The sequence below is a fragment of the Homo sapiens genome, chromosome 5, assembly GCF_000001405.40.
Source record: "Homo sapiens chromosome 5, GRCh38.p14 Primary Assembly".
Taxonomy (NCBI): Eukaryota; Metazoa; Chordata; class Mammalia; order Primates; family Hominidae; genus Homo; species Homo sapiens.
This window is the reverse complement of record NC_000005.10, coordinates 111,525,989-111,553,292: the sequence shown is the minus strand read 5'-3', so window position 1 is coordinate 111,553,292 and position 27,304 is coordinate 111,525,989. Positions and strand designations below refer to the sequence as shown.

The following is a 27,304-nucleotide window of genomic DNA, read 5'->3' as shown; positions in this document are numbered from 1 at the left end:
CTAACCTGGCACTCATGGAAAGCTAAACCTGGGAGACTAACTGTGCAGCTCAGCAAATTCTCTCCCTGATCCACACTGTAAATATGCAATCAAATCTCTTGACACTGTAAGCTAATGGAGATCAGCTAGTAGAAGGTCTTTGGAGGGCAATCAGGTGGTATTAAAAATATGCTAATGGCAGCTTGTGATCTAGCAGCAGGACCCCAGGATTTGGGGTTGGCATGGTAACTGCCAGCAGATAGTTCACACAGAACAGGAACAACGGAAAGAATTAGAATGAACTGCTTAAATGCAACTGTTAATGAAAAATGTGGAGCACAATCAGAAAGAATGTTTGGTGCCCTCAGTGGCAAAAACAAACAAACCAACAAAAACACATACATACAAAACACAAGACCAAAAAGTGAAGTGAATGCTTTCCATTTTGCTATGGCAATCAAAGGTCATAGGAGCCAGCCATTGGGAAGAATTTAGAATTTAACCTGATGGTTTTATAGAGGACCTGTGACTTTGTTGAAATACAAGTGTTTCATATGTGAATGACAGAAGTGTCATATGTGTATGTGTCTCCTCACCAAGGCTGAAAGAAAAGGTCTGACAGGGAACAGCTTTTAACAATCTACTCTATCAAAGGCAGTACAGATGGTTGTTTTTGCTTTTAGCTTAACTGAATGTCAAATGAAAAAAAAAAAAGGCTTCTTCTCATACATATATCCAACACATAGAAAGAGGTTGAATTGGGGCTTGCACTCAAGTGCACATACATTACTGGGCAAACGTAATGCATGCTTAAGGGTGCGTGCACCCGTGTGCATTCCTGTATTTTAGGTGTGCCCTCTACTTTTTCCCTTCTCTGCCTGAAGCTGGAAATTTCATAGCAACTCAGCCTCTGCCAGTATGGGCTTGAGACCACAAAGAACGAGATTCTTTCCTGTTTTCCCATTGCAAAGCCTAAATGCCATTGTAAATGATTTTTCCTGGCGGGATGTATTAATACAAAAAGACAGGCTAAGTTCACTGTACCCATTAGCCTTGCTAACCCTTGTGGCTGAGGGCAATGATACAGAGTCAAATAATGTGAAGGGAGCTGCTGGAAACAGGCAGCAGTTGGATGACTCCAGGAAAACAAAGGTAATATGTCTGCATCCAGCACAGAGGCTCTCACGTGCCAGAGATGGAAATGAAGCTGTGAAAACAGAAAGTAGGCATGCACATCTCTGGAGGCTAAGGAAAAAAGGAGACAGAGAGGCAGACAGACCATGAATTAAGTGAGCTTGGGAATGCAGAGAAGACAATGGGAAAACTAGTGAAAGCTCAAAGAACAATTTGTATGCAGAGGAGTAGGAGCACGGCAAAGAAGAAATTCAACTCCTTAAGGATCTGTGTTTCGATCCACACTGTCCTTAGCCTAGCCTGAAACCCCTGCTTGGGAAAAAGTTTTGTCGTTTGAAAAATGCCCTTTTAAAATGACTTAGGCATAATTTCCTTCTCTTAGTCACTTCCTTCCTTCGCTTTGATACAACAGTCGCTTAAAGAAAAACCAGGGGAGAAAAGGTGGTGGAAATGCGTACAATTGGAAACAATTGCTATTGTCCTAGACATGTTCAATCTAGCAGAGACTGACAGGTGCTCTGCTGCTCAGAGGATGCAGTTAGATATGCTGTCATAAAATTAACACCTGGGGAACTAAGGTTTTGTGGGAGCAGCATGAAACATATATAATTTGGGACTCTAAGAAAAACAATACAGAATTACAATATGAAATTGTGAGAACATTCTTAGAGAGTTGGAAAGAGCCTAGGGAAGTAAGGGCCTTATCAGTTAATATCCATTATTTATCACATGTTACCATGACAACACCTGCAGGGAGCGGGGAGCACCTTTCCAATAAGGGGCCTTTAGTCAAAGAAAAATACAGGTCCATTTGTTTTTTCAAGACACAGCCTGCTCTTAAAACACCCACAATGTTGTCTGCTCATTAGACTAAATTCTGCATCCTGTACTGCTAATAGCACTTCCTGAGGAAATGGGTGGGAATTCCAAGATAGTATCACTAAGAAACTAAGTGACTTTAATTTCTAAGGGACTTTAGTTTCTAGGCATATTTCTAAGGGATGCCTAAATGACTGTATTATTTCACCTAAAATAATATACAATCTCTTGGTCTTGCAGCAGATCTGATGTTGATGTGTATGGTGTGAAATGAAAGAAGACAAAAGGTTCACCTTGAATCTTTCTAGAGGCCAAAGACAGCAGCTCATTGCTTACTTGTTAAGTACGAACTTAATGAGTACTGTTACAAATAGTGGGAGGCTCCCACAGAATATGACTTAGGAGAAAATAGAGCACTGCTGCTATAAGAGGAGTCTTTTGTTTGTGAAATCACAAGAACACCTGTGATTCAGCTCCCCAGGAACTTCAGTGGGCCAGTGTCCATTACTTTCATCATCAGGGATGTTTTCGTGTTGGGGCCTCTCTCTGAAGGTCCTGGTTTACCCCGAGGGAGCTTAGTGAGTCAGGCGCACAGGATGTGAATGGATGAGCCAGGACTTTCTTCTACCAGGGCGCCCTCTTGTGGGGATCTTATTAATTATCTTGCAAGGAAAGGGACCTTATACCCGGTTGCCTTCACAAGGCACAATTGTGAAGATTCACTTGTCCTATAAAGCCTCAGTCATCAGGCTTCAAATAGATATGCTCTCTCCTCTCTTCTCACTGTGGTTGAACTGGTCTACTTCTCTGTTTTCTTGTGACCAAGGTATGGGCAGCAACATGCCGCATGAAGAGTGCCCTCCTTCTGGTAAGAAGGCACATCACCAGTGACTTGCCCTTGTCCTTCTGTAGCTGTGTGCTTCTAAGCACAGGTAACCTAAAGTTCTCTGTCAGGCAAAATGAGTGTCCTGAGCATACTGCTTGCACCCTACTTGGGCATTCTTCCAAATCTTCCTAAATGTGCAAGACCCAGGCTACCATGCAGTAGTAGCACGATCATAGGTCACTGTAACCTTCAACTCCTGGGCTCAAGCAGTCCTCCTGCCCTAGCCTCCTGAGTAGCCAGAACTGCAGGCACACACCACCATATCCAGCTAATTTTTTTGTAGAGACAAAGTCTTACTATGTAGCACAGGCTGGTCTCAAACTCTGGGCCTCAAGGAATCCTCCTGCCTCAGCCTCCCAAGGCGCTGAGATTACAAGTGTGAGCCACCATACCTGGCTTATGCTTCTTAATTTTCTCCAAATCTTAATCACCCTTTAAGTCTCAACCTGAAAGTCTGGGTACGGTTGCTCTCATCCTCCAAGCAAGAAGTTGATAGATCTCTTTGATGTTTTTTCAGTCTTCTTTTTTGTTTTTTTTGAGATGAAGTCTTGCTCTTGTCCCCTAGGCTGGAGTGCGATGGTGCTATCTCGGCTTACTGCAACCTCTGCCTCCCGGGTTCAAGCGATTCTTCTGCCTCAGCCCCCGAGTAGCTGGGATTATAGGCGCCTGCCACCATGCCTGGCTAGGTTTTGTATTTTTAGTAGAGACGGGGTTTTATCATGTTGGCCAGGCTGGTCTTGAACTCCTGACCTCAGGTGATCCACCCACCTCGGCCTCCCAAAGTACTGGGATTACAGGCGTGAGCCACCGCTCCCGGCCTCTCAGTCTTCTTTTTACTTATCAAAACCTCCCAACAGACCAGGCTTACCAAGGAGAGAAATTGTGTTTGTTTCTGACTATGTTGCTCCGGGTTATGATCCGAGTGCCGGCCTGTTATCTGTCACATAACAGGTGCTAAATAGGCATTGGATGACAAATGACCAGACTCCATTCACTCACATTGCACACGCTCTTCTTAACTGCTAATGCATACACATTTGGTGCAATTCCTTGGCAGTGCTGCACGGCTAACAACTTATTTACAGAGTAAACAACTACCCACACCTCCTGTGTGTCAAACACAGAACTCCCTGGAGTGGAAAAGCAATCGACAAAGAAGATAAAGAGAAGTAGGGTCATAACCAGGAAAAAATGGTGTCTACAATGCCAAAGGAGGAGAGAAATGATCAGATAAAGGTGGCAGATTGCCACCTGCTGAGAGGGCAAAATTCTTAAGGGATTTGCCACTTATGTGGCCATTGTTAGAAACACTATCATGAGCAATTTCAGTTAAGTGCTGAAAATGACTGGCTCTGTGGTCAGAGACATAAACAGTACTATTTTTAATCACTCTTCAAGGTTTCCATGAAGAGTAAGGAAGGAGTATTAGAGGCTGGCACTTTGTGTCCACTACAAGAATGGTCTCTAAGCAGGTGTTAGATTTTATTAAATTGCAATCTTCATGTGGCTCCAGTGACAGGCTCTGATTTGGATGGCCTTCCAGTTGTGACCAATGGAGCTTCACATCCCCCCAAATCACTGGGCCTCCTTTAAACACGTCTCATTTAGCCTCTTTGGCTTCTTATCAGGCTCAAGAAACAATCTAAGATTGCAAGCGAGTGCACTCTGGAGAAGGATAATTGCTGTGAATGACTAAAGAAGGCCTCTCAGCATTAGTGTTATCATGAGCTTGAAAACCTGCAAATCATATGATAATTATTCCTGAAGTTCCTTGGCAGCCCTTAAGTATAATTATCATGTAATCTGCAAGGCTCAGAATGTTTTCAAAACAAGCGTGCATGGAAAAGAAATGGAATGAGCCCCTCCTTTTTTATTAGCATATCCCTGCTCCCAGGTCAAGTGACCAAGGTACGGGCAGCAACATGCCGCATGAAGAGTGTCCTCCTTCTGGTAGGGAAGCACATCACCAGTGACTTGCCCTTGTCCTCCGATCATGACAGCCTTGTTTGCCTGCTGGCATTGAACAGTGATCTGTTCCATGGTGATCTGTGCCTTTGTGCTTTGTTTCCTTTCTGACACTGCAGGTGGGTACTGTATTTCCTAGGTGAGCCATTCAAGTGAGTCCTAAGGATTTTAAGATTAACCCACAGAAAATTAATTTTGTCAGGTGTGGTGCATGGGAGGCTTTTTGGTTAGCTTAGATTGCCAAGTAGAAAGGAGAAAACTCGATGACTCAATAAAGCCTGTTGATTCTGCTCCTTATCCAAGGTGAGGATGTCCCCTATCCTCCTGGAGAACACTGGTGATTACCTGCCTCCTCTGGAGCCAGCACTGCACTGGTGTGAAATGCAACTTGATTTAAGAAAAAAGCAGGCTGGGTAGGGTGGCTCACGCCTGTAATCCCCGCACTTTGGGAGGCTGAGGCGGGTGGATCACCTGAGGTCAGGAGTTCGAGACCAGCCTGACCAATATGGTGAAACCCCGTCTCTACTAAAACTACAAAAATTAACCGGGCATGGTGGTATGTGCTTGTAGTCCCAGCTACTCTGGAGGCTGAGACAGGAGAATCACTTGAACCCAGGAGGTGGAGGTTGCAGTGAGCTGAGATCACACCACTGCGCTCCAGCCTGGACAACAGAGTGAGACTCCATCTCGAAAAAGAAAAAAAGCACAGCAGTTTTACAGCTTAGGGTAGAAGACCAAGAAAATAAAATCATGTAGCTATTTGGGAAACATTAAATAAAAGGTGATTTTCAAATCTTAGCCGATCTCTAGCAGAGAGTGCTTATTTAGCTGCAGTAGTGATGAGCAGCCTTTCCCATGTTGGATGATGGATGGAATCATTGGATTGTGAAGGCCTACAGGATAAAAGCTGTACATTAGTCCTCTTGGTATCACAGGACCCAGGTTCTGACACACAGAGGGCCCTACACGTGACTAAATGAATATGATCCCTTCTCTGTACAAAAGTCTAGTGTTTTTCGAGAATTCCTAACTTGTAGCAATTTGAGGTAGTAGACAAGACAGTGAAATGGGAATAGGGTCTGTATGGAGGCTACAGCCACTGTCCCCATGAATTATCAAATGTGCTCCTGCTCCCACCCTTATCCCTCACCACGTCTGCAACTCTACAGCAACTAACTCTACCCCAGTTAGGGGAGGAAGACCTTTTTCTTCAAATATCTATTCCTCTGGCCAATTGACCAACCTGTCAGGACAGAGCAGGAAGACTCAGTATAAAACAGTGCTTATTCTCACATCTGACACAAAATAGCGAGTAAATTTTTTTTTTTTTTTGAGACGGAGTCTGTCTGTGTTGCCCAGGCTGGAGTGCAGTGGCACCATCTCAGCTCACTGCAAACTCCGCCTTCTGGATTCACACCATTCTCCTGCCTCAGCCTCCTGTGTAGCTGGGACCACAGGCACCCACCACTACGTCTGGCTAATTTTTTTTTTGTATTGTTAGTAGAGATGGGGTTTCACCATGTTAGCCAGGATGGTCTTGATCTTCTGACCTCGTGAACCGCCCGCCTCGGCCTCCCAAAGTGCTGGGATTACAGGCGTGAGCCACTGTGCCCGGCCGTGAGTGAATTTTTTAAAAATAAAATTGTGTGTTTTGGTTTATTTCATAAATATATTTAAAGAAAATTAAGGAAATATAGAAAAGTAGAAAACATTGAAAAAGCTACCCAGCATCATCACTCTAGCCTACCTTTGTTAACGTATTTATCGTATTTCCTTCTCATCTCTTTTCTAAGCAGTATTTGTTTTTGTTTTCCTGTTATTATGGGCATATAGTACATATAATTGCATCTTACTTTAACTTAAGTCATGATTGTTTCCCTGTAACATTATTGTACACTCTTAATAAATATTTTCCATAGCCAAAGGATGATAGAGTCATAATTTACGTACCCATTGCTCTATGGTGGCAACTCAAGATTATTTCAGTTTTCACCATTCACTAATAGTATTGCAAGAAATGTCCTTATGTATACAGCATTTTCTTTCTTTAAAATTATTTTCTTAGAGAAAAATATTATAACATAAGGTTAGGTGAAGAGTTCTTAGGACTGACACCAAGGTGCATCTGTAAAGACAAAAAATTGACAAATTGGACCTCATTACATCAAAAATCTTTTCTCTGCTTAATATGCTGCCAAGAGAATGAAGAAATAAGCTACAGACTTGAAGAATATATTCGCAAATCATCTATCTGACAAAGGCTACGTGCCCAAAATATATGAAGAACTATCAAGACTCATTGATAAGAAAACATACAATCCAATTAAAAAAGGGGCAAAGGACTTGAACAGGCATTTTACCAAAGAGGTTTTAAGGATGGCAAATAAATACATGAAAAGATGTTCAACATCATTGGCCATTAGATAAATTCAAATACAATTAAACATTACTACACACCTTTTGAAATTGCTAAAATTAAAAATGCCAACAATACCAATGCTGGTAAGGAATTAGAACTCTCACACATTCCTGGTAGAAAGGAAAACTGGTAAAGCCACTGGAAAACAGTTTCATAGTTTTCTATAAAGCTAAACACACCCTTGCCACTGATAGCAACCCCACTCCGGGGCATTTATCCTACAATGGGGAGAACTAATATTACACACACACGTGTAAGCCTGTACACATGTGTTCATAGTAGCATTATCTGTGGCCGCCAAAAACCTGAAATTACTCAGTGTCCTTCAATGAGCAAATGGATAAACGAACTATGGTTCGTTCACACAATGGAATACTACTAAGTAGTAAAAAGGAACACACTATACTAAACAACTTAGATAACTTTTAAAAGCATTCTGCTGGGTCAGAAAAGCCAGTCTCAAAGGGTTACATATGTTTCATTTATTTGACATTTTCAAAAGACAAGACTACAAGAATAGAAACCAGATCCGTGGTTGCCAGGGGCTATAAGTAGGGGATGTTACTCTGAAGGGATAGCTTGAGGGAGTTTCTTGGAAGACGGAAAAGTTCGGTATCCCAATGGTGGTGGTGGTTACATGAATCTATATGTATGTTAAATCTCATAGAATTCTACTTCAAAAGAAAAAAAGTGACTTTACTGTATGATCATTAAAACAAATTAAATTCAATTTTAAAAATAAAGATCTTTTTTTAAGTTGCATAAATGAAGCAAACAGCAGTGAAAGGATGAGAGTCCTATGGAGCTTCATTAGCTACTTAGCTCAACCTATGTGGAAACCAAGATGTGATGGGACTTGCCCAGGGTCATGGGCAAGCCTGAGATGAATGAGTAGGAAGAGTTACACCTTCCTGCTTCCGTGTTGTTTCCAGAAAATGCTTGAGTCTCTTCAGCTGAAAGATGTGGTGTGGAAAGTTACAGAATTATTTGCTTCTCATGAATCCAGTCTAGAGAGGATATGGTGGGGACAGGGAAGCAGAGGGGAATTTACATCATGGCACTTGGAAAATTAGCCCCATTCTGCAGAAAATCTTGTTTTAATCAGCCTGAAACTATGCATTCTCTTGACTAATGAGCAAACACAGTTAACTCTGCAGGGTTTCTGATCCCAGTGCTGTGTCAAAAGAAAAAGAAGTTCAGAAAGCCGCTCCTTGGTTGGCCCGTGAAAGCTTCCATAGATAGAGAAAAGACTAACAAATGATAACAAAGGTGTAAGACCTGAAAACCCCATAGAATTGTATAATCATTCCCCAAAATGAGGACTAAAGAAGCAATTCGATCTTTTACATCATTGAATTATCTATTAGTTATATGAAATATATGTCTTTAAATATAGATATTCTTAAGGCAAATTTATTTTTTATCCATTGATAACACTATTTCATGGTTGTTAAATGTTCTATTCAAGGCTGAAGAGAAGGTTTGATATATTTTTCTGTTTAGGATGACAACCAATCATAAAAGATATGCTGGAAAGTTTTAATTCAACTATCATGTATTTCTTAAATGTTGGTTGTATTATTCATTATTCCATTTATTTAATCTAGTTTTTTTTTTTTTTTTTTTTTTTTTTTTGGAGATGGAGTCTCGCTCTATTCCCCAGGCTGGAGTGCAGTGGAGCAGTCTCGGCTCACTGAAAGCTCTGCCTCCCAGGTTCATGCCATTCTCCTGCCTCAGCCTCCCGAGTAGCTGGGACTACAGGCGCCCTCCACCACGCCCGGCTAATTTTTTGTATTTTTACTAGAGATGGGGTTTCACCGTGTTAGCCAGGATGGTCTCGATCTCCTGACCTCGTGATCCGTCTGCCTCGGCCTCCCAGAGTGCTGGGATTACAGGTGTGAGCCACCGCGCCTGGCCTTTTTTCTCTAGTTTTTTTTTTATAGTCTCATAGTCATTGAAAACCTCAGGGTAATAAAGCAGCATAGATATGTTAATAAATAAGACAATTACAATTCTAAATAAATCAACCCAGAAATAAATTTGTAAATACATTACCAGCTTCTTGGATACTGCAATAATGGATCACATATATTGTCAAAATTGTAATTTTAATAAGAAAAATACATATCTAGCTTGGATTTGTGTCAAAAATTCTAAGACACTAACAATCTAAACATGTCTTAATAATCTTTGATATACCTTGAAATATTGAAAATACATTATATGTTTTTCAAATTTAGGGAGGGAGGAAGGCAGGAAGGAAGGAGGGAACAAGGGAGGGAACTCATTGGACATAAAATTCCTACAGCTAGTTTCAAGAATTTGGGTTGAGGTTTCAAGATGTCAAATTAGGGGAAAGGGAGAATAAAATAAAGCAGAAGGAAAGAATTCTCACTATTTAGACTATGTGGTTGTTGAGGAAAGGGGTGGGAAAACTGTTTGAAATTCTGAACTAAAATTCTAGGAGTATTTCCTTAGAACTAATGTTAGTTATGGTGAGCTTAGGTTAGTTCAGGTTTGTCTAACTTCAGGTTCATTGTTGGCTTATGAGGCCTGGAGGGGATGGCCTACAAACCCCAATACCATATGAGTGGTCTATAGTGAAATGTCTCTTGTGCCCAACTTCTTAGTTACAAACAATCCAACTGTTCTTAAGCTGATGACTTGTCTGCGTTCAAAGGGCAGAACTTCTTTGTTTGGAATACGTAGAAACACAGTGAATAACTTCATTTAATGGCCCTATCTATGTATGTCCTCTGTGTTCCTGCTCATCAGGCTATCTCTTCACAATCTTTTCCTATTTCTAAAAGTTAGAGTTTAGTTGGGATGTGGAAAAGTGGTGGCTTATGAATTTATGTTGAAAACCGAGAAAGGAACCATCCAAGTGAGTAGCTGTTCAGAAGGAAGATGTTCCATTTTATAGGCCCTTCCTGGCCATTTTGTGACACCAGAACAATCCTGGAATTTTCATTATGTCCTTTTGGAGTAAAAAGTTCTGTTTGGTAAAGTCTTCCACGGTCAAAAATAAAGGAGTTCATATGGCATACCTCTCAAGGATATTTGCATTTTAAGAGAAAGCAATCCAAAATCTAAAAGAAAAAAAAATCACTGAATGAGAAATTCTGTGTGACTTGTATAGATGTGATGTGTATATCATTCTATATAATATGTATACATATGTATTTTTACATTTACGTGAGAAACATTTCAGAGTGGAACGGCCTTCCTGGAGTCCATTAAATGGTACCACCGAGATCTTTCATAGGGCTGTCTTAAGGCTCAATAATGGCCAGAATTTCCTCTTGGGTTTTGGGTCCTGCTCCATTAATGTATTTCCTGGAGGGTTTGGGATGTCTCCTGGCTATCTAGCTCCTCTCATTCAATAACACCAATAATGTTAATGTCTTTCATGGGTGAGACCATGTTTTGTTAATCTCTGTGTTCCTGGCATCTGATACAAGACATGGTGCTGAGGAGATGCATCACACAAGATGCAGAGTGAATAAATGAATGAAAGCTCACCAAGACTGCACTGTAAGACCCACAGCAATGAGGATCTATATGTTTTGGTAGGCAGGAGTCTTACATTTACCACTACTTCTCTTTAATAAGTGTTTAAGATTACTTACAGTGGGTAAAAACCACATGCATATGTACAGTCCACTAAAGAAATAGGAAAAAATGGGAGAAGTCATTCAAGGAAAGCTTAATAAGGATGGCACTGCATTCATTCATTCAATCATGCTTTGATTTATATGCTTTGCAAAATTATCAATGCATAACAGCAGTTCTTCTTATACTCTGCCATGGAGAACATTGCGGTAGGATCCAAAGCAGAGTGGATGGGCATTTTTCTGGAGTTCACAAATCTAGTTGATATATGTAATGGCTGCCAAGTCAAGAGCCTGAGATGACATAATCAACAGGTACTGTATGTAGCAACATAAAAGAGCCTAACAGTGTTCTGTGTCTATCAATGACTTCAAAGTTTGTTCTTAGGACTTCAAGGAGTATTTTCCCTCTGCCCTTCTAATGTGATTTAGCTTTTTATTTCCTTTAAGTTTTAGAAAGGTCTGAAAATGATTTCGATTCCAGAGCAATGGCATGATATTAAGAACCTTAAACAGGAAAACAAGAGAAAGAGACAGACAGGCAGAGAGAGACTTTTTTTGGCTGGTACACGATATACTTTTGCAGAACTGTGCCAAACCCATTACTCATTGCCTTCACTGATCTGCTTAAAAGAGAAGTAGAATCATAACAGTTTTGTCCATTTTGCTCTTTACCACATATAAATGGAGCCAGAGAAAATCTCTAAGAGGAGGGATAGGAATTATTTTGTTTGCTTGCTACCTTGTGGTTATGCCTACATTACCTCAATATTTGATTTGCAGAAGTAACAGGAAAATGTGATAATTTCTCAATTGCAAAATCAATTCAGAGAAGTATTTCAGGAGAAGTAGTTAGCTTTGTTGTAGGAAAAGATGTTTTCCTACAAAGTTGGGGTTTGGTGTTGGAGGAAAACAATTGCAATTGAGTTGTACATATCTCAAACCTGACTGTAGTCTGACTTGTGTGTAGAGTCTACTTGAGTGAATGTCAAGTGGTAACTAGCAATAACTGTTCAATGAATGATTGCATCGTGTTTTTCACCCATAAAAACATGGACCATGCCTACAAATACTTAAGCATTTAATTAAGGATGAAGTTGATACTTCAGCTCAATAAAAAGAAGAATTTTCTCAAATTAATTTCACTCAAAAATGGAAGAGGAAAATTATTTTTTAAAAGAATGAATGATCTTGTAGAATATTTACTCTCCAATTCTGTATGCAAGCAGAGTCAGAAAAATTATTGATAAGGAATCTAGTAGAGGGCATAAATATACAACATTTAAGATTACTTACAACTCATTCAACTTACAGCATAATTCGATTGTTCTGTGGTAAATATGTTGCTTCATATTAAAGATTGTTCAAAGCATTAATCTCCTTTTTTCCTTTTTTAAACATCTTTTATTTTAGGTTCAGGGGTACAAGTGCAGGTTTCATATACAGGTCAACTCGTGTAACAGGGTTTTTTGGTACAGATTATCTCATCACCCAGGTACCAAGCCTGGTACCCAATAGTTATTTTTTTCTGCTCTTCTCTCTCCTCCCACTCTACACCCTCAGGTAGGTCCTAGTATCTGCTATTCTCCTCTTTGTGCCCATGTGTTCTCATCATTTAGCTTCTACTTAAAAGTGAGAACATGCGGTATTTGGTTTTCTGTTTCTGTGTTCGTTTGCTACGGATAATGATCTCTAGCTCCATCCATGTCCCTGCAAAGGACGTGACCTCGTTCTTTTTATGGCTGCATACCGCTCCATGGTGTATACGTGCCTCATTTTTTAAATCCAGTCTACCATTGATGGGCATTTAGATTGATTCCATGTCTTTGGTGTTGTGAATAGTGCTTCAATGAAGATACATGTGCATGTGTCTTTATGATAGAGTGATTTACATTCCTTTGGACATATACCCAGTAATGGGATTGCTGGATCAAATGGAAGTTCTGTTTTTGGCTCTTTGAGGAATCACCACACTGCTTTCCACAATGGTTGAACTAATTTACACTCCCAACAACAGTGTGTAAGCGTTCCCTTTTCTCTACAACCTCACCAGCTTCTGTTTTTGTTTATTTTTTGCCTTTTTAATAATAGCCATTCTGACTGGTATGAGATGATATCTCATTGTGGTTTCAAATTGCATTTTTCTTACCATCAGTGATGTTGCATTTTTATTCATATGCAAAGCATTAATCTCTTATCCACGTCGTTCTTTCTTCAATTTCTTCCTTTCTTCAATGAAAAGCATTGATAAAAATATTGGTGACCACTGATGTAATTGTGCTATACGAATACATCTTCTATCACTTCAAGCTAGGATATATATTTATACATATACTATATATATCCATGTATTCCTATATATAAAATGATTTTAAAAGATTCCCAGATCTCAGTTCTATAACTGATTTATTTACATATAAATTAATTTTATTTATCTATTATGAATGTTAAGTGCCAAGCAGTAACATCTGGTCAGTAAGATCAGCAAAACACCCTAACTGACTTCTTCTATTCTATTTACTACTGAAAGGGATTTTTTATTTGATGACTTTGTCTACAACTTGGCAAAGGACCTATATGCCATTGAAACTAATGACAACAGGCTGCTATAAGCCTCAAGTAGGAGTTCATATTTGTAATTTTTTTCCAAATTAACCTTTCTCTTAATGAAATAATAATATGATAAATGTATGTATAGAAATTTATAATTTCTAAAGCAACTCCACATACTTATTTGATATGGTACTTTTCATGCCTTTTTATAGCCCCACAACAATCCTGCTATTATTACCATTTTATAGATAAGCACATTTAGGCTCAGAATAGTCAAGTGACTTTTCCAAAGTTATCCAAATAGTAAGTGATTGAGTTGAGACTGAAAACCCAGTTTTCTGATTCTGGATGCCACATTCTTTTCCCAGTTTATTAATAATTGATAAATGTTCTTAGCAATTTCTTCAAAATGGTAATTGAGTTAATGAGGTTCTTTAATTGCTATTTGCATACTCTTCATTGTAAAATGTAGGAATATGATGAATGTAAATACTGTAGAAATAGGCCCTGTAGAAACAGATGGTTGGCATTAAAGAATTTGCTCAAAGTCCCTTTAGAAGTTACAATAATGACATACAACTTTTTAATAAACACAATTAGAGAGCATTTACATTTTTACAAGATCTGCTACTATGGAATGAGATTACAAATTAAACTGTGCTATAATTTCATATAGTAATATATCATGAATGTATCTACATGACTGACTAAAACAATTGTTCTGTTTTTAATATTGCTAATTAACCTTTCCTATCTTTGTTTACATTTTTCACATAGCAAAATATCTTTTTCTCAAATAAATTATTTTGCTAATTATCTTTTTAAAAATATCTGATTTCAGCGTCTGCTTTTAGACTATAAGCTTTTTGAGTACTGAAACTATATCTAGATTATATTTCTTCCTTGTGTCTCTAACACACATTTAGAAAGAGGAGTGCTTCAATAAATGTGTATCAAATTGAATCAAACGTTAAAACAGATGAGTTTCTACAAGATCCCACTTTATGATCTTTGATAATTTCCCTCAGGTATTTAAGTTTCTCAACAAAATGAGAACCGTTATTTTCAACATGGATGACCACCCCTTCTTTCCTGAAACCATCTCATCTCTTGCCTGGAAAACACTGCTCTCCTGGTTTCCAGCTCCCCATCTTGATTTGCCACTGTCTTGCCCCTTAGTGTTGGTGCCTCCCAGGATCCACTGTTCTACCTGTCTCTATTTCCTTCCCAGATTACCCCTGGGTATCTTTTACGCCATTCCCATCCACCACAACTTTTATAGAGACTCTTATCCTTTCACTTAAATGAACTGACCTCCCAATCCATTCTCCATGTTACAGCCTGAGTCCTCATTATAAAGTGAAAAGTGTGACCAGGTCCCTCTTGACTTAAATTATACTTCATTGGCTCACCCTTGACCTTGGGATAAAATCCAACTTCTCAGCAGAGCCTCGATGCATTCATGATCTGACCCTTCTCCCTCCTCTAGCTTCTTCCTTTGCCCCTGTTCTCTAGTGCGAGCCATATTAGCCTACTTTTATTTTTCCATGCACACTATCTTTCCTTATGCATTTAGACCATTGCAGGTATCTCATACTTTCAGGGCAGAAATGAAAGAAGGAGGTGGAGAAGACATACCCCATTCTAGCAGATTGGAAGAAACAGGACATTCAGAGACAGTATGTTAGTGGCAGTTTCCAAGAGGAGAGGAAAGTAGGCTGGGTCCTAGAAACCTGTTGTTAATAAGAAAATAAGAATGTAATTTGGAGGGTGGAACACCCCTGTGGGTTTCTTGAAAAGGAAAGACAAGGAAAATGTGTGGAGAAGAAAGAAGAAATGTTGTTACCCACAGTCAACTCGAGAGCTAAGAGAACCATGAAACTTTCTTGATCTGATTCTCATATTTCTCCAGTAGATATTTCACCTATTTTCTCTGACCTTTCCTCCCCTGATTATTCACAAAATGAATAATGGCTAGTATTTACTGAGAATGTAATATGCACCAACTGTTTTTCTTAAGTGCTTTATAGAATGTCTTATTTAATTGTCACATCAGCCTTAAGAGACAGGTGGTTTTATTCCCTTCTTACAGATGAGGACACTGATGAACATGAAAGTCAACTGACCTGAAATAACTTTCCAAGCTAGCACAGCTAAGAAGAGGAGTAATTTGCTCATGTATCTGTCTAGAATCAGGCTTAAAGAAAATTGACATCTCTTAGACAGCCTAGCTCTCTCATCTGTGGGTAAGGGCTTTGTTTTCAGGGAAGACTTTTTATTATAAAACAGTTCTTTTATGACTGATACTAAATATATTACATTTTGTCTCTTTTATTTAATGATTTCCATGTGCATGCATACCATGAAATTTCTCCTTGAGAAAAACTGGAGCAAGATGATTATCTTTGTTAGACTATTCTTTTTTTGTTTTCCTTTACAGCAGATATACAGATTGAGAAGTGGTTAACTGTAGCAGTTTGAGCTATCTTAACAGAATGTAATTTATTTAAAGCAAATTCAATCATGTTTCCATGGCCTTGAAGAGACATGACCTTTCTCATGAGGGAACTAGAAATACAATTCTTCGATGACATCATTCCAAACCTCTATGGATATAAACAAAAATCTTAAACTTGAAGGACATCCAAAGATATAAAACACCATGAACTAGCCTTAGTAAAGTATACTAATGGCAATGTTTCCCCAGCATCAGAGCCTAATGTCACACCTAATTAATAAGATGTCAGCTACAAAAGAGCAGGGTTTTTTAAAGCATCTAAATGTGTACTCTTATTTCTTTTTCTTATACAGAAGATATTTAGGAGGAAACATTTTAAAAACTAATATAAATAACAAACCTCTCACAAACAAGACTCCAATCACAGACTCAGACTTAAAAGTGCTAAAGAAACGTCTTATATATTCTTCCCTTGAGAGTCCATCTTATGTATTTTTATCATACAACTTATTTTCAACCTAGCAGACATATCAATCCCCATGTGAATAAATCAGATAACCATATTAAAAATACTCTGTAATTGAGAAAAACAAGGCAATGAAAAAATAAAGGGACTTGGGGGAGAGGTATTTGCAAAACAGTGGGTCATAAGAAAAATGTTTTATCTTGAAAAACCTACCCTCTTTGTACTTAGAAATTGTTCTTATGTTCTAGCAAGAACAAAATGAATTTAAATGCACTTTATCATTAGACATGTATATGATGCTATTTTCTTGTCATCTGGTGGTCTGGACATAACTGACTTTCTGAGAATTGGCCAATAAGAGTTTGAAGACACATATTAACTCTTTTATGTGAAGAGATTCATATAATAAACCATTGGTGCTGTGTACAAAACACTAGTCTAGTGACCAACAAGGATAACTGTCGGTCCACAATTGCTAAAATTAATCTCAGGAATAGAATAAAGCACTTGGCAGATATAAAATATCAACTACACTATACTCCATGTTTTGGGTGTGCTTGTGAGCCAACTGAAATTCAAGGTAATAGGCTGTGTCTAGTCAACAATACAATAGGAAAAGGATGTTGGCATGGTATTTTCAGCCATCTGGATGGCTAAATAAGATTACTGCTAAGAGCTAACTAAAATTGTCTGGTAGATGTAATCAAAACAGATACAATTCAGAATAACTCAGACCAAAAGAATATTTCCTCCTGTTAGAGTCATTTTAAGAGGAATTTGAAATCAATGCAAACCATGTCTTCAAGGTTTTCCTTCACCATGTGAAAACAAAGGCTCTGCCTGTATAGAAATAATGGTAGAACTATATAAAGGGCAGTTGGTTTTTCAGCTGATGAGCAATTGGGAGCTACTTTATTACTCAAACTACTTTTCCAGGAGCTACCATCAAAGCACTCATGAAGGTTCTTCTTTGTTCTTACCATCCATGGGTGTTACTAAAAGAGAAAGTAGAAAACTTACTGTCACAATGGTGAGAATTTGGCCAAAAATCACCCAGTCTTTGAACTGAGCTTAAACTAAGTAGTAGTACATAACATTAGAATTCTGGTCACTTAAATTAAGGACGTTTGTAAACTATTCAAATTAACAAAACAAAGCAAACAAACAGGAAAACAAGTTATATGTGATAGATGGATGGGGGAAAAGTGATAAAATTGGCCAGTTTCACGGAAAGGTCGAATAGTGAGAGTAGTCAAAATAGCCTGTATAAGTTACTAAGATTTAGTTTATTTTAACAAATATTTATTCTGCATTTTCAACCATGCAATCATCATTGAACTAAGTGATGAAAAAAGACATTGTCTCTTCCTTAAATGTCTTAAATATATAAATTGATACTTGCAGTTTAGTTCCATACATTGGAGTTGAATGTATGAACAAGAATCAGAGTTTCTGTAGATGTTGGAATACAATATTGGGTATAGGAGAAGGAAAGAGAATCAGAAAGTGGGCCACATTTTCTATGACTAAAGATGGAATTTACAAGATGGCTTTAATATTCCCTTCAGCTTGACTAAACTTTAGACATGTTTCTTTCTGATTCTAGGCCCTTGACCTCTCCTTCTTAGAACATTGACTTTAGAATATTTGTAAGTTATTTATCTGCCCCCTTTGAGATATAAATCTTTTAAAAAGCCCCTTGCCAATTGTACAACTCAGAACTGTCCTTCTCAAGGACCTTGGAGCCATTCCACTGAAATGTAATCATCAAGGAAACTGTGCCCTATCTTCCAGTCTCTGTGGGAGAATAAGAGCCTAACTTCCATGGAGACAATTAGTAAGCTCGGGTGAACTAATCACCAAGAAAACCATTTGCAAACTTAAATAACTCAATTTGCTAGACATATCCCATTGATAAATCTCCTTCAAACATCCTCCAGTATTTTTCTACTAGCTCACCTCAGCTCTTAAAATACCTCCTGAGTTCAGACTTCGTTCTGGTCTCACTCCCTATTGCAGTAGCCTTGAAGAAAGTCTTCCTTGCCTGTTTCACTTTGTGTGGTACAATTTTGCTTTGACAATAGAGAGTCAACAAATAGACAAACAGAGGGGACCTTTCCAAGCAGAAAGCACAGCATTGGTGAAGACCTGGAAACATCATATTTTACTATGTATTTGTGGAGATCTAGATCTAGACATATTTGCTACATCTGTGAGGCTACCATCCTGCCTGCCTACAGCAGCCTTGTGTGCATTTGTATCTGAAGATTTTTCACCTCTACTTCATTGGCAGTACCAGGATTCAGATCCTGCTTCTGAGAATCCCATCCATTGCCTTCTACTCTCTCCCTCCCAGTCTGGAAGACTCTTATTTAAGATCTACATTCTCACTCTTGTTGTACTGCATTTCCCTCTGTTCCCTGCATACAGTCTGTGAGGCAAGTAGCTCTGAGTACAAATCACCCTGCTACAGTCCTTCCCTGGGGTTAGAAAGTAGAGCTGGTTAACTGTCTTAATAGGGAATAAGAATAACGAAAAATTTAGGCAGAAAACATAAATTTTGTGGAAGATATTAACTTATCAGACCAAGTCCAGCCTGTCTCCAAAGCAGTTCTTAATGCCTGAGATTTATTTAGAGGTCTCATATCTGTGATCCCAAAGCCCCACTCCACTCAGCATAATGGGATCTCTGTTCTGGGGTACTCCTGACACTGAGTCTAAAGGTGCAGAATTTTCTTCAGTTTGTTTCTTCTTTAGATCTGTGATGAGAACTCTTCAATGTCCACTCACTCCTTCCCATCTTCTTGAAGAAAAAAATCCTAAGGCGTCTTGTAGTAGTATAGCTCTGCCATTCTATAGAGGGAAATTAGGCCCACAGAACTGTAGGAAAAAACCTAAATGCACGAAGTTTGTCAATTATACAGTCTGGATTAGATGGATTAGAATCCATAACTTTTTTCCTGAGACAAGATCTTGCTCTGTCACCCAGGTTAGAGTACAGTGGCACGATCATAGCTCCCTGTAGCTTCCAGGTCCTGTGCTCAAAAGATCCTCCCACCTCAGGCATGTGCCACCATGCCTGGCTAAGAACCCATAACTCCTTATTTGTTTAGTGCTTGACCTCTCTAAACTATACCCTGAGTATCCATGGGCAACTTGCATGATCATTTGAGGTTTCAGATTTTTTACCTGTAAAATGTGATAATGGTAGCCACTTCACAGGACTGTTGTGAAGAGAAACAAAGTGGGTGAGTACTTGGTGCAGTCTGACAGTTTGTGTTCTACAAAAGCTAGATCTCTTGCCAGTTTTCTTTTTGCCTTTCTCTATCATAGCATTCACCACACTGCACTGACATCATTTATTTATGTCTCTTTCTCAATTCATTGCAAGCTCCTTTGCGAAAAGAATTGGTATTTATTGGATAATCTATTCCTAATATTTCATTCAGTAGAGTTGCCTAGTAAATATTCTTTAAATAAATGAAATGTTAAAGTGCTTAAAAAGAGGTGTGAACATAGCCACCGACTTTATGGGCACCAAAACAGCTTAAAAATAACCCTCCCTCAGGAAAGGAGGAATGGGGAACTATTGTTTAATAACTAGCACACAGAGTTTCTATTTGGGATGATGAAAAAGTCCTGAAAATGGATAGTGGTGATGGTTGCACAACTTTGTACTAAATACCACTAAGTTGTACACTTAAAAATAGTTAAAACGGTGAATTTTATGTTTTATATAGTTTACCACATTTTTTAAAAAGCCTCTGAGAAGTTTCATTTATAGAGAACACTTTGTAGTATTATAGGAAGAAGAATAGAGTCCACGTTTAGACCAGTTGGAGACTTGGTCTCTATCTGGAAGTTACTTTCTCTTCTCTCCTCTAACAAAAGGGAGATGGAATGTGATTCTCTCTCCATCTCTACAGCTGTGCCAGGCAGAGGCAGCAGCAAGAGCTACAGAGACATTCTTCCTGCACATGCAAACAGAGTTATTCCTGAGCACGAAATGACTGGTGACAGCCATCTCCAGGAGAATATATCAGAAAACTTTAAATACAGTCACCAACCCTATAATTCAAACCCAAACGTTTAGGACCTGCAGATACAGAGACTAAAAATATTTTGTATTCGTAAATTAGAGCACTGACCCCATAGGCACTTAGGCCTTCTCTTAAACTTGCACAGGCTGCTGGATGAGTCTCTGACAACCTCCCCAGCAACCAGCCTTTCTTCTGCCTTCATCTTCCTGCTTCAGCCTGTGTCCCAATTGTGTTAGTCTATAGCATTCACTGTCCACCACCAACAGAACAGTTAGCCAGAGGGAGGCTGGAGTTATCTATTGTTAGGTAGCATTGGGGTGGAAAGACCAATATTCGCCGTATCCAGAGTGCACATGTCAGGTAAGCAGTACCTCTTACACAACACTACCTTTGCCAGGTTTCTTGTTGTCTGGGTGTGCAGGCAGGCTATGGAGGTCCTCAGAAACACTGCCTACCTCTTCTGACAAGCCCCTTGGGCTCTAAGAGGAAGAGTTGTGACTCCTAGTTCGCTTTCTCTCCTGTCTTTCTATTTGCTGAAGGAGAAAATATGACTTAAGCAATACTGAACGTTTGTTTAAAATACAAAAATTTCTTGGTGATTAAAAAATTATAGCTAGTGTTGGCCGGGCGCAATGGCTTACGCCTGTAATCCCAACACTTTAGATGGCCGAGGTGGGCAGATCACCTGAGGTCAGGAGTTCAAGACCAGCCTGGCCAATATGGTGAAACCCTGTTTCTACCAAAAATACAAAAATTTGCCAGGTGTGGTGGCACGTGCCTGTAATCCCAGCTACTCGGAAGGCTGAGACAGGAGAACTGCTTGGACCCGGGAGGCGGAGGTTGCAGTGAGCCTCGCACCGTTGCACTCCAGCCTGGGCAACAGAGTAAGACTCCATCTCCATAAAAAAAAAAAAAAAAAAAAAAAAAAAAATATATATATATATATATATATATATAGAAAGAGAGAGAGAGAGAGAGAGAGAGAGAGAGAGAGAGAGAGAGAGAGAGGGAGAGAGAGAGAGAGAGCGCGCTAGTGTTTTATAGCCACCTAGTGGCCGAAATTGGGCTTTGCAATTGGAAATTCAATTTTCACTCAAAACATTAGCTCTAAATTAATTTTGCTATTTAAATACTTTATTTGCCATCTAAATACTTCTTTAAGAGAGATAACGTATGGAAGCTTAGATTAACTAAGGGGATGAAACATGAGGAAGCCAAATTTCAGAATGCTTCCTAAAGAGCCTCTAAACTTCTGGGTTCTCCAAATGTACACATGACTGAGTCTTGGTTCTTAAGGTATGATGATAATGATAACAATAGGTATATTAGCATAGCTAACATCATTTGAGTGCCTAGTATGTACCAGGTAATATTCTGAATGCTTTTTGGTAGTATTTATTTAATCTCTGCAACAACTCTATGATATAAATTCTCTTATGCTCAATTCTTAAAAGAGAAATCTAAGACAGAAGTGAAACACTTTGTCCCAAGACCAACAGCTATTAACTAGTAAGATCAAGATATTCTTTTTCGGCCGGGCATGGTGGCTCACGCCTGTAATCCCAGTACTTTAGGAGGCCGAGGCAGGCGGATCACGAGGTCAGGAGATCGAGACCACGGTGAAACCCCGTCTCTACTAAAAATATAAAAAATTAGCCGGGCGTGGTGGTGGGCGCCTGTAGTCCCAGCTACTCGGGAGGCTGAGGCAGGAGAATGGCGTGAACCCGGGAGGCGGAGCTTTCAGTGAGCCAAGATCGCGCCACTGCACTCCAGCCTGGGCGACAGAGCAAGACTCCTTTTCAAAAAAAAAAAAAAAAGAAAAAGATTTTTTTTTCCTGTTTGATTAACTTTTATTTTAGGTTCGGGGGTACATGTGCAAGTCTGTTACATAGGTAAACTCGGGTCACAGGGGTTTGTTGTACAGATTATTTCATCAGCCAGGTACTATGCCCGGTATCCAATAGTTATTTTTTCTGTTCCTCTCCCTCCTCCCAACCTTCACCCTCAAGTAGGCCCCAGTGTCTGTTGTTCCTTTCTTTTTGTATCCATGGGTTTGTATCATTTAGCTTATAAGTAAGAACGTGTGGTATTTGGTTTTCTGTTCCTGCATTAGTTTGCTAAAGATAATGGTCTCCAGCTCCACCCATGTTCCCGCAAAGACATGATCTTGTTCTTTTCTATAAAGCCAAGATTTAAGATCCAACAATCCAGTTCTAGAATCTTAAGCCTCTTTAGCATAGGGTAAATATGTACATCAAGTACAATTACGGCAGTGGAATCAAATAGGCTCTCCTGCAATCTCAAACTTGCTTATACTTTAACTCATATATGGTTAGGTTTCAAACACGTGGGAGAGACAGAAGAACCCTAGGAATTTAGAGATGGAACTTGATAAAGGCATTTCTCAGAAGAATTTCAGACAGCAGGAACTTGACTTCAAAGGTTGGTGTGACGTGGGCAGACACAGAGGGGGAAGCACAGCCCAAGTACGAGCGGACGGCAGGATGGGTGGAGGCAGCAATGCAATGGAGTGAGGAGAGGAAGTGTGGGTGAGTCAGCAGAAGGATGTGATGAGGCGGAGAATGGGGGCACTCGCGTGGGGACAGAGGAAAGGCAGGAAGGTCAGATTGGGCCATGTTGTTCATGTACGATCTTCATGTCAGATGAAGAAGTTAGATCTTTAGCTCAACGGTTATATGGAACTATTGAGAGTTTAAAAATGATATTTATAGCCTTTATAATTTTTCAAAGCAAGTGTGCCCACTGTGAAATATTTGGAAACCAAGGAAGACACAAAGCTAAAAGACTATCTGTAACTCTCTCTTTGTTAATATTTGGAATATATCTTTCAGTCTTCATACCACACACATAAATTTTCCCCCAAAACAATATTTACTGTATTTTATATAATAATTATAGAGTATTTTAATGTTTCGGTTTTGTCATTTATTATAGTACATGTCTATTATAAATAAATAACAAAATAGAAGCAAAAACACTAAAAGCAAAACTAAAATTATAAAAATTCTAGGCTCTTACTATTATTTTTATTGTATATGTGTATGTGTATATATGCATCCTTTTGAAAAAATATAGATCCCGTTAAAAAATAGAATAATAATTTACCTACTGTTTAAGACCCTATACTCTTCTCTTAATATATCAGGAAAATCTCGATATGTTGACATGTGCATTTTTATAGCAAAATTTAATACCTGCATCCTATACAAAATAATTTATACGATCTCATATTTTTAAATTGCCTTTATGTCTTTGTTGAAAATCAGTTAATTATGTAAGTATAGGTCTATTGCTGGGCTATTTCATTGACCTATTTGTCTATCTTGATTGAATATCATAATTTTGATCAATGTAACTTTATACCAAGATGTGAAGACAGGAAGTAAAAGTTAGATAACTTAGTTCTTCTTTTTAAAAGTTGTTTTGGCTATTCTATGCCCTTTGCATTTCCACATGAATTTTAGAGTTAGCTGTCAACATCTACAGATGAGCCTGCTGAGATTTTAATTGGGATTTCATTATATCTGTAGATCAAATAGGGAGAATTGATATTTTAGTCATGTTTATCCAAACACATGCCATTTATCTCTATTTACTTAGACTTTAATTTCTCTCATTATGTTTGCTAGTTTGCAATATACAGGCCATGTTCATTTTTTTCATATTTATCCCTAATATGCATATTTAATGGCATGTTTTTATGCCAGTATAAATGGTATTATGTTAATTTTAATTATGTATGTATGTATGTACCTAGTATATAGAAACAGACTTGATTTTTTATATTGATCTTGCATCTCCCAACTTTGTTAAACTCACTTATTAGATGTAATACATATATATAAATTCCATAGGGTTTTCTAGGTAGATGATCGTTTCATCTGTGGATAAAGAAAATTTTATTTTCTTATGTCCAATCTGGATATCTCTTATTTCTTTTTCTTGACTGGCTGGACTGGCTAAAGCCTCCAGGACAATGTTGAATAGAAGGGAGAGAGTAGACATCCTTGCCTGTTTCCTCATATTAGGGGAAAACATTTCATCTTTCATCATTAATAAGACGCTAACAGTACAGTTTCGTAGATGCCCTTGATCAGGTTGGGGTTGTTCCTTTTATTCCTATTTTGCTGACTGTTTTTATTGGGATTAGATTTTGGGCATTTGTCAAATGCTTTTTCGTCATCTCTTTTTTTTTTTTCCCCAGTCTGTCAACATGGTGAATTACATTGATTGTTTTTCAAATGTTAAATTAACCTTGCATCCCTGAGATAAACCCGACTTGGTCATGATGTATTATCCTTTTAATAAATTGTTTATTATTTTATTTGTTATAATTTGGTAAGAATTGTTGTCTCTCCGTTCGTGAGGAATAACGTTCTGTAGTTTTCTTATAATATCTTTTTCTGGCTTTAATGTAATAATGCTGGCCTCGTGGAATGAGTTGGGAAGACTTCAATTTTCTGGAAGAGTTTGGGTTGCAAGGCTATTATTTCGTCCTTAAATGTTTCATAGAATTCACCAGTGAAGACATCTGAAAATGGAATTTTCGTGGAAAGTTTTAAAGCTCTAAATTTAATTTCATTCATTGATATAGTGCTCTTCAGGTTATCTATTTCTTCATGAATGAGCTTAGTAGAATAGTTTGTATCTTTTAAGGAACTTGAAATTCTTTTTTCTTAAGGTGGAAGCTGATGTCATTGACTTGAGACTTCTTCTTTTTTAATTTAGATATTTAGAGCAAAAATTTCCTTATGATTACTGCCTTAGTCGTAAACAATAGATTTTCATATGTCTTTTTTATTTTCATTCAGTTTTTAAAAATCTTAATTTTTTGTTTATTTCTTTTTTGACTCATGGGTTATTTAGCAGTGTGTAATTTTCTTTCTAAATATTTGAGTTTTGTCCAGATTACTTTACTGATTTCTAATTTAATTCTATTGTGGTCAGATAATATACTTTGAATGTCTTTTGTCAGGCTTCTTGATTGGAAATGGAAATTTAATCACGTATTTTTGGACTTGCAGTTTCTAATTTTTATGCTACTAAAAACAATTCTTAGATGAAGATGAACTTGGGTTCTTTTTACCCTTTCTTTTTTATTTTCTTAAAAGTCTCAGAAACAAAAGTTTTGAATCAAAGAGTATATAGTTCCTTCTCTAGAATTTATATATACTGTTACATGCCTTGTTTCATGTTTATATTCAATAATTTGCAAATATTTTCTTCAGATCAATATTTTTTCTATAACATATTCTTAACGACTGTATATAATTTTACTTTATTGATACCCCAAATTATATTAACAATACTCTATTGTTGGACATCTAAGCTCTTTCTAACTTGAGGCAAGTTTCCATAATGCTTTTAATAAACTACACTGTAGATCATTAGTCTGTGGGAGAGGATTGGCCTCACGGAAACAATGATTTAGGAAAATTAGTCAGGAACTACTATAGAAGACGGATTTGGGCTGAGAAGGACTGGAAGTAGCAAAATCTGTTCCATACCATTAGGATTGTAATATAATGCTTAAAAATGAGGCTGTGGTAGCAGCAGATGAATGGAGATGTCAGAATGGATGGAAGAAATAGTAAAATGGAAGAATCTATCACACTTAGCCACTGATTTTGGGAGAATTAAAATCAATTTCTATCTTTAAAGTAGTAGCATTTCTAGATAAAATTGAATCTTCACATTTATCTTTAAAATACCTATTTTCTCAGCATTTGTGCTTATTTGTCAAGCAGTAATGTTTTCTAATTACTCAAAAGAGGTTTCATCACAGATGATAAAAGGAAGCCAAGGAAAATATTTTCTAAAGCAATTATATATAAGGAAGAGCAAGATTTATATAATTCACATTACTTTTCAAGGAATTCTCTTAGTCTCAAAATGTTTTGTCCTTTTGAATTATTAGGTTGGTGCAAACATCATTGTGGTTTTTGCATTGTTGGAATTTGCTGTTTGATATTGCAATGCATTCTTAAATAAATGTGATTATATTATATATCATTTTAATGGACATTTCTCGCTTTATGTTTTTTGCTAGTGACTTATTACTTGCTGTTTATTTTATGTTTATTTTAGACTATGGAAATGATGTTAGACAAAAAGCAAATTCAAGCAATATTCTTATTTGAGTTCGAAATGGGTCATAAAGACAACTCACAACATCAACAATGCATTTGGTCTGAGAACTGCTAATGAATGTACAGTGCAATGGTGGTTCAAGAAGTTTTGCCAAGGAGATGAGAGCCTTGAAGATGAGGAGCGTAGTGGCTGGCCATTGGAAAGTGACAACGACCATTTGAGAGTAGTCATTGAAGCTGATCCTCTTACAAGTACAAGAGAAGTTGCCCAAGAACTCAGTGTCAATCATTCTATAGTGTTCAGCATTTGAAGCAAATTGGAAAGGTGAAAAAGGTCAATAAGTGGGTGCCTCATGAGCTGACTGAAAATACAAAAATCATCTTTTTGAAGTGTCATCTTCCATTGTTCTATGCAACAACAACAAACTATTTCTCGATCAGATTGTGATATGCAACGAAAAGTGGATTTTATATGACAACTGGCAATGACCAGCTCAGTGGCTGGCCTGAGAAGAAGTTCCAAAGCACTTCCCAAAGCCAAGCTTGCACCAAAAAAAGGTCATGGCCACTGTTTGGTGGTCTGTTGCTGGTCTGATCCACTACAGCTTTCTGAATCTCACTGCAACTGTTACATCTGAGAAGTATGCTCAGCAAATCAATGAGATGCACTGAAAACTGCAATGCCTGCAGCTAGCACTGGTCAACAAAAAGGGCCCAATTCTTTTCCACAACGCCTGACTGCACATCACACAACCAGTGCATCAGAAGTTGAATGAATTGGGCCATGAAGTTTTGCCTCAACCGCCACATTCATCTGACCTCTGCCAACCAACTACTACTTCCTCAAGCATCTCAACAACTTTT

General features: G+C 38.2%; 2 long non-coding RNA genes across 2 annotated transcripts in view, besides 3 other annotated features; both read right to left on the bottom strand.

Annotated features, from left to right (window-relative positions):
• STARD4-AS1 (STARD4 antisense RNA 1) overlaps positions 1-27,304 on the bottom strand; it is a 227,501-nt gene that overhangs the window by 186,434 nt on the left and 13,763 nt on the right. The window lies entirely within an intron of this gene.
• Positions 2,781-2,860: an enhancer, noted in NCBI's record as "active region_22903". NCBI's record gives its function as "activates an Ori minimal core promoter by ATAC-STARR-seq in GM12878 lymphoblastoid cells {active_cell/tissue: GM12878}" and the evidence as "EXISTENCE:reporter gene assay evidence [ECO:0000049][PMID:35858748]".
• Positions 13,701-19,984, bottom strand: LOC124901042 (uncharacterized). The gene is made up of 2 exons (XR_007058899.1): positions 15,005-19,984; positions 13,701-13,873 (listed from the first exon to the last, which is right to left on the bottom strand). It is a non-coding gene; the product is annotated as an uncharacterized LOC124901042 (long non-coding RNA).
• Positions 22,050-23,249: an enhancer, noted in NCBI's record as "MED14-independent group 3 enhancer chr5:110865742-110866941 (GRCh37/hg19 assembly coordinates)". NCBI's record gives its function as "activates an origin of replication core promoter dependent on BRD2, BRD4, P300/CBP and CDK7 cofactors, and independent of MED14, by STARR-seq in HCT116 cells {active_cell/tissue: HCT116}" and the evidence as "EXISTENCE:reporter gene assay evidence [ECO:0000049][PMID:35650434]".
• Positions 22,752-22,801: an enhancer, noted in NCBI's record as "active region_22902". NCBI's record gives its function as "activates an Ori minimal core promoter by ATAC-STARR-seq in GM12878 lymphoblastoid cells {active_cell/tissue: GM12878}" and the evidence as "EXISTENCE:reporter gene assay evidence [ECO:0000049][PMID:35858748]".